The 8,023-nt window shown below is 36.7% G+C and overlaps 2 annotated features.

Annotated features, from left to right (window-relative positions):
• Window positions 43-544: an enhancer, noted in NCBI's record as "NANOG hESC enhancer chr11:55007108-55007609 (GRCh37/hg19 assembly coordinates)". NCBI's record gives its function as "activates a minimal SCP1, AML or CMV promoter by ChIP-STARR-seq in primed H9 embryonic stem cells {active_cell/tissue: H9 hESC(primed)}" and the evidence as "EXISTENCE:reporter gene assay evidence [ECO:0000049][PMID:30033119]".
• Window positions 1,425-1,964: an enhancer, noted in NCBI's record as "OCT4-NANOG hESC enhancer chr11:55008490-55009029 (GRCh37/hg19 assembly coordinates)". NCBI's record gives its function as "activates a minimal SCP1, AML or CMV promoter by ChIP-STARR-seq in primed H9 embryonic stem cells {active_cell/tissue: H9 hESC(primed)}" and the evidence as "EXISTENCE:reporter gene assay evidence [ECO:0000049][PMID:30033119]".

An 8,023-nucleotide genomic window follows, 5' to 3' on the forward strand; every position in this document is an offset into this window, starting at 1 on the left:
AAAAGGAAATATTTTCACATAAAAACTAGACAAAAGCATTCTCAGGAAGTTGTTTGTAATGTGTGCATTCCGCTCACAGAGTTGAACCTTTCTTTTGATAGAGCAGTTTTGAAACACTCTTTTTGTAGGATCTGCAAATAGATATTTGGAGCGTTTTGAGTCCTATGGTGGAAAAGGAAATATCTTCACATAAAAACTAGTCAGAAGCATTCTCAGAAACTTCTTTCTGATGTGTGCATTCAACTCACAGTGTTGAACCTTTCTTTTGATAGAGCAGTTTTGAAACACTCTTTTTCCAGAATCTGCAAGTGGATATTTGGAGTGCTTTGAGGCCTATGGTGGAAAAGGAAATATCTTCAGGCAAAAAGTAGACAGAAGCATTCTCAGAAACTTCTTTCTAATGTGTGCATTGAACTCACAGAGTTGAACCTTTCTTTTGATAGAGCCGTTTTGAAAATCTCTTTTTTTAGAATCTGCAAGTGGATATTTGGTGCTCTTTTAGACCTATAGTGGAAAAGGAAATATCTTCACATAAAAACTAGATAGACGCATTCTCAGAAACTACTTTGTGATGTGTGCATTCAACTCACAGAGTTGAACCTTTCTTTTATTGAGCAGTTTTGAAACACTCTTTTGAAGTGACTGCAAGTGTATATTCGGAGTGCTTTGAGGCATGTACTGGAAAAGGAAATATCTTCACATCATAAGAACTAGACAGAATCATTCGCAGAAACTTCTTTGTGATGAGTGCCTTCAACTGCCAGAGGTGAACCTTGAGCAGTTTTGAAACATTCTTTTTGTAGTATCTGCAAGTGGATATTTGGAGCACATTGAGGCCAATGGTGGAAAAGGAAATATCCTCACATAAAAACTAGAGAGAAGTATTCTTAGAAATTCTTTCTGATGTGTGCATTAAAACTCACAGAGTTGAACCATTCTTTTGATAGAGTAGTTTTGAAACACTCTTTCTGAAGTATCTGCAAGTGTATATTCAGAGCGCTTTGAGGCCTATGGTGGAAGAGGAAATATCTTCACATAGGAACTAGACAGAAGCATTCGCAGAAACTTCTTTGTGATGAGTATTTTCAACTCTCAGAGTTTAACCTTTCCTTTGATAGAGCTGTTTTGAAACACTATTTTTGTAGTATCTGCAAGTGGATATTTGGAGCGCTTTGAGGCCTATGGTGGATAAGGAAATATCCTCACATAAAAACTAGACAGAAGCATTCTCAGAAAGTTCTTTGTAATGTGTGCATTCAAGTCACAGACTTGAACCTTTCCTTTAATGGAGCAGTTTTAAAACACTGTTTTTGTAGAATCTGCAAGTGAGTATTTGGAGCACATTGAGGCCTTTGGATTAGAAGTAAATATCTTCATGTAAATCTAGACTGAAGCATTCTCAGAAACGTCTTTGTGATGTGTGCCTTCAACTCAGAGAGATGAACCTTTCTTTTGATTGAGCTGTTTTGAAACACTCTTTTTGTAGAATCTGAAAGTGGATATTTGGAAAGCTTTGAGGCCTACGATGGGAAAGGAAATATTTTCACATAGAAACTAGACAAAAGCATTCTTGAGAAGTTGTTTGTGATGTGTGCATTCCGCTCACAGAGTTGAACCTTTCTTTTGATAGAGCAGTTTTGAAACACTCTTTTTATAGAATCTGCAAGTGGATATTTGGAGCGCTTTGAGCCCTATGGTGGAAAAGGAAATATCTTCACATAAAAACTAGTCAGAAGCATTCTCAGAAACTTCTTTCTGATGTGTGCATTCAACTCACAGTGTTGAACCTTTCTTTTGATAGAGCAGTTTTGAAACACTTTTTCCAGAATCTGCAAGTGGATATTTGGAGTGCTTTGAGGCCTATGGTGGAAAGGAAATATCTTCAGGTAAAAAGTAGACAGAAGCATTCTCAGAAACTTCTTTCTAATGTGTGCATTGAACTCACAGAGTTGAACCTTTCTTTTGATAGAGCCTTTTTGAAAATCTCTTTTTTTAGAATCTGCAAGTGGATATTTGGTGCTCTTTTAGGCCTACGGTGGAAAAGGAAATATCTTCACATAAAAACTAGACAGAAGCATTCTCAGAAACTACTTTGTGATGTGTGCATTCAACTCACAGAGTTGAACCTTTCTTTTGATAGAACAGTTTTGAAACACTCTTTTGAAGTGACTGCAAGTGTATATTCGGAGTGCTTTGAGGCATGTACTGGAAAAGGAAATATCTTCACATAAGAACTAGACAGAATCATTCACAGAAACTTCTTTGTGATGAGTGAATTCAACTCCCACAGTTGAACCTTGAGGAGTTTTGAAACACACTTTTTGTAGTATCTGCAAGTGGATATTTGGAGTGCTTTGAAGCCAATGGTGGAAAAGTTAATATCCTCACATAAAAACTAGACTGCAGCAATCTTAGAAACTTCTTTCTGATGTGTGCATTCAACTCACAGAGTTGAACCTTTCTTTTGATAGAGCAGTTTTCAAACACTCTTTTTGTAGAATCTGCAAGTGCACATTTGGAGCGCTTTTAGGCCTATGGTGGGAAAGGAAATATCTTCACATAATAACTAGACAGAAGCATTCTCAGAAACTACTTTGTGATGTGTGCATTCAACTCACAGAGTTGAACCTTTCTTTTGACAGAGCAGCTTTGAAACACTTTTTTTGAAGTATCTGCATGTGTATATTCAGAGCGCTTCGAGGTCTATTGTGGAAAAGGAAATATCTTCACATAGGAACTAGACAGAAGCAGTTGCAGAAACATCTTTGTGATGAGTGCATTCAACTCCCAGAGTTTAACGTTTCCTTTGATAGTTCAGTTTTGAAACACTCTTCTTGTATTATCTGCAAGTGGATATTTGGAGCGCTGTGAGGCCAATGGTGGAAAAGGAAATATCCTCACATAAAAACTAGACAGAAGCATTCTCAGAAACTTCTTTGTGTTGTGTGCATTCAACTCACAGGGTTGAACCTCTCCTTTGATTGAGCAGTTTGAAACACTCTTTTTGTAGGCTCTGCAAGTGTATATTTGGAGCGCTTTGATGCCTATGGTGGAAAAGGAAATATCTTCACATAAATCTAGACAGAAGCATTCGAAGAAACTTCTTTGTGATGTGTGCCTTCAACTCACAGAGTTGAACCTTTCTTTTGATAGAAAAGTTTTGAAACTCTCTTTTTCTACACTCTGCAAATGGATATTTGGAGCGCTATGAGGCATATGGTGGAAAAGGACATATCCTCACATAAAAACTAGACAGAAGCATTCTCGGAAACTCCTTTGTGTTGTGTGCATTCAACTCACAGGGTTGAACCTTTCCTTTATTGAGCAGCTTTAAAAATCTCTTTTTGTAGAATCTGCAATTGGATATTTGGAGCACTTTGTGGCCTGTGGTGGAAAAGGAAATATCTTCACATAAATCTAGACAGAAGCATTCTCAGAAACATTACTGTGATGTGTGCATTCAACTCACAGATTTGAACCTTTGTTTTGATAGAGCAGTTTTGAAACACTCTTTTTCTTCAATCTGCAAGTGGATATTTGGAGCATTTTGAGGCCTTGGAGGAAAAGGAAATATACTCACATAAAAACTAGATAGAAGCTTTCTCAGAAACTTCTTTGAGATGTGTACATTCAACTCACAGAGTGGAACCTTCCCTTTCATTGAGCCATTTTTGAAAAACTGTTTTTGTAGGATCTGTAAGTCGATATTTAGAGCAGATTGAGGCCTATGGTGGAAAAGGAAATATCCTCACATAAAAACTAGACAGAAGTATTCTCAGAAACTTCTTTGTGACATGTGCATTGAACCTACAGAGTTCAACCTTTCTTTTGATAGAGCAGTTTTGAAACACTCTTTCTCCGGAATCTGCAATTGGATATTTGGTGTGCTGTGAGGCCAATGGTGGAAAAGGAGATACCTTCACATAAAAACTAGACAGAAGCTTTCTCAGAAACTTATTTGTGAAGTGTGCATTCAACTCACAGAGTTGAACCTTTCTTTTGATAGAGCCTTTTTGAAACTCTCTTTTTCTACAATCTGCAAATGGATATTTGGAGCCCTTTGAGGCCTATGCTGGAGAGGAAATATCTTCACATAAAAACTAGACAGAAGCATTCTCAAAAACTTGTTTGTGATGACTGCATTCAACTCACAGAGTTGAGCATTTCTATTGATACAGCAGTATTCAAACACTCTTTCTGTAGACTCTGCAAGTGGATATTTGGAGAGCTTTGAGGCCTATGGTGAAAAAGGAAATATCCTCACATAAAAACTAGACAGACGCATTCTCAGAAACTTCTTTCTGTTGTGTACATTGAACTCACAGAGTTGAAATTTACTTTTGATGAAGCAGTTTTGAAACAATCTTTTTGTAGAATCTGCAAGTGGATATTTGGAGCGTTTTGAGGCATATGTTGGAAAAAGAAATACCTTTACATAAAATCTAGAGAGAAGCATTCTCAGAAACTTCTGTGTGATGTGTGCATTTATCTCACAGAGTTGAAACTTTCTTTTTAAAGAGCAGTTTTGAAACACTCCTTTTGTAGAATCTGCAAGTGGCTATTTGGGATATTTGACGCCTATGGTGGAAAAGGAAATATCCTCACATAACAACCAGACAGAAGCATTCTCAGAAACTTCTTTGTTTTGTGTGCATTCAACTCACAGTGTTGAACATGTCCTTTGATTGCACGGTTTTGAAACACTGTTTTTTGCAGGATCTGCAAGTGGATATTTGCAGCGCTATGAGGCTTATGTTGGAAAAGAAAATATCTCCACATAAATCCAGACAGAATCACTCACAGAAACTTCTTTGTGATGTGTGCACTCAAATCACAGAATTGAACCTTTCTTTTGATAGAACAGTTTTGAAACACTCTATTTGTAGAGCTTGCAAGTGGATATTTGGAGCTCTTTGGGGCCTATGGTGGAAAAGGAAATATCCTCACATAAAAACTAGACAGAAATATTCTCAGAAACTTCTTATGTTGTGTGCATTCAACTCACAGAGTTGAAACTTTCCTTTGATTGAGAAATTTTGAAACAATCTTTTTGTAGAATCTTCAAGTGGATATTTGGAGTGATTTGAGGCTTCTGGTGGAAAACAAAATATCTTCACATAAAAAGTAGACAGAAGCATTCTCAGAAACTTCTTCATGATGAGTGCATTCAACTAACAGAGTTGAACTTTCATTTGATAGAGCAGTTTTGAAACACTATTTTTGTAGAATCTACAAGCAGATATTTGGAGCGCTTTGAGGCTTATGGTGGAAAAGGAAATATCCTCGCATAAAAACTAAACAGAAGCATTCTCAGAAACTTCTTTCTGATGTGTGCATTCAACTCACAGAGTTGAAACTTTCTTTTGATAGAGCAGTTTTAAAACCCTCTTCTTCTAGGATCTAGAAGTGGATACTCGGAGCACTTTGGGGCCTATTTTGGAAAAGGAAATATCTTCAGATAAAAACTAGACAGAAGCATTCTCAGAAACTTCTTTGTGTTGTGTGCATTCATCTCACAGAGTTGAAACTTTCCTTTGATTGAGCAGTTTTGAAACACTCTTTTTGTAGAATATGCAAGTGGATATTTGGAGTGCTTTGAGGCCTATGGTGGAAAAGGAAATATATTCACATAAAAGTAGACTGAAGCATTCTCAGAAAGTTTTTTGTGATGTGTGCTTTCAACAGACAGAGTTGAGCCATTCTTTTGATAGAGCAGTTTTGAAACACTCTTTTTGTAGAATCTCAAAGTGGATATTTGGAGTGCTTTTTGTGGCCTATGGTGGAAAAGGAAATATCCTCACTTAAAATCTAGACAGACGCATTCTCAGAAACTCCTTTGTGTTGTGTGCATTCAACTCACAAGGTTGAATCTTTCCTTTGATAGAGCAGTTTTGAAACCCACTTTTTGTAGAATCTGCAAGTGGATATTTGGAGTGTTTTGAGGCCTATGGTGGAAAAGGAAATATCTTTAAATAAAAGCTAGACAGAAACATTCTCAGAAACTTCTTTGTGATGAGGGCGTTCAACTCACAGAGTTGAATGTTTCTGTTGATAGAACAGTTTTGTAACACTCTTTTTGTAGAATCTGCAAGTGGATATTTGGAGTGCTTTGAGGCCTATTTTGGAAAAGGAATATCCTCACTTAAAAATTAGACAGAAGCATTCTCAGAAACTTCTTCGTGTTGTGTGCACTCAACTCACAGAGTTGAAGCTTTCATTTGATTGGGCAGTTTTGAAACACTCTTTTTGTAGAATCTGAAAGTGAATATTTGGAGCACTTTGAGGCGTATGGTGGAAAAGGAAATATCTTCACGTAAAAACTAGACAGAAGCATTCTCAGAAACTTCTTTGTGATGTGTGCATTCAACTCACAGAGTTGAACATTTCTTTTGATAGAGTAGTTTTGAAAACCTCCTTTTGAAGAATATGCAAGTGGATATTTGGAATGCTTTGAGGCCTACGGTGGAAAAGAAAATATCCTCACATAAAAACAAACAAAAAGAGTGTTTCGAAACTGTTCTATGAAAAGGAATGTTCAACTCTGTGAGTTGAATGCACACATCACTAAAAAGTTTCTGAGAATGCTTCTGTCTAGTTTTTATGTGAAGATATTCCCGTTTAAACCGAAGGCTTCAATGTGCTCTAAATATCCACTTGCAGATTCTACAAAAAGAGTGTTTCAAAACTTATCTATCAAAAAAAAGTTTCAACTGTGTGAGTTGAATGCACACATCACTAAGAAGTTTCTGAGAATGCTTCGGTCTAGTTTTCATGTGAAGACATTCACATTTCCACTGAAGACCTCAAGGCTGTCCAAATATCCACCTGCAGATTCTACCAAAGAGTGTTTCAAAACTGCTCTTTCAAAACAAAGGTTCAACTCTGTGAGTTGAATGCACACATCACAAAGAAGTTTCTGAAAATGCTTCTGTCTAGTTTTTATGTAAAGATATCCGGTTTCCAATGAAAGCCTCAAAGCGGTCAAAATATCCACTTGCAAATTTTACAAAAAGAGTGTTCCAAAACTGCTCTAATGAAAGGAATGTTCAAGACTGTGAGTTGAAAGCAAACATCACAAAGAAGTTTCTGAGAATGCTTCTGTCTTGTTTTTATGTGGAGATATTTCCTTTTTCACAGAAGGCACCAAAAAGCTCCAAATGTCTACTTGCAGATTCTACAAAAAGAGTGTTTCAAAACTGCTATATCAAAAGAAAGTTTCAACTCTGTCAGTTGAATGCACATATCACAAAGAAGTTTCTGAGAATGCTTCTGTCTAGTTTTTATTTGAAGATATTTCCTTTTTTCACCATAGACCTCAAAGTGCTGCAAATACTGAATTCCAGATTCTACAAAAGAGGGTTTCAAAACTGCTCTATCAAAATAAAGGTTCTACTCTGTGTGTTGAATGCACACATCACAAAGTAGTTTCTGAGAATGCTTCTGTCTAGTTTTTCTGTTAAGATATTTCCTTTTTCAGTATAGGCCTCAAAGCACTCCAAATATCCACATGCAGATTCTACCAAAAGAGTGTTTCAAAACTGCTTTATCAAAAGAAAGGTTCAACTCTGTGGGTTGAATGCACACATCACAAAGAAGTTTCTGAGAATGCTTCCATATAGTTTTTATGTGAAGACATTTCCTTTTTCACGATAGGCCTCAAAGTGCTCCAAATGTCCACTTGCAGATTCTACAAAAAAAGTGTTTCAAAACTGCTTTATCAAAAGAAACGTTCTACTCTGTGAGTTGAATGCACACATCACAAAGCAGTTTCTGAGAATGCTTCTGTCTAGTTTTCATGTGAAGATATTTCCTTTTTCACCATAGGCCTCAAAGCTCTCCAAATGCCCATTTGCAGATTCTCCAAAGAGAGAGTTTGAAAACTGCTCTATCAAAAGAAAGGTTCAACTCTGTGAATTGAATGCACACATCACAAAGAATTTTCTGAGATTGCTTCTGTCTAGTTTTTCTTTGAAGATATTTCCTTTTTCACCATAGGCCTCAAAGTGCTACAAATATCCACTTG

The sequence above is a fragment of the Homo sapiens genome, chromosome 11, assembly GCF_000001405.40.
Source record: "Homo sapiens chromosome 11, GRCh38.p14 Primary Assembly".
Classification (NCBI taxonomy): Eukaryota; Metazoa; Chordata; class Mammalia; order Primates; family Hominidae; genus Homo; species Homo sapiens.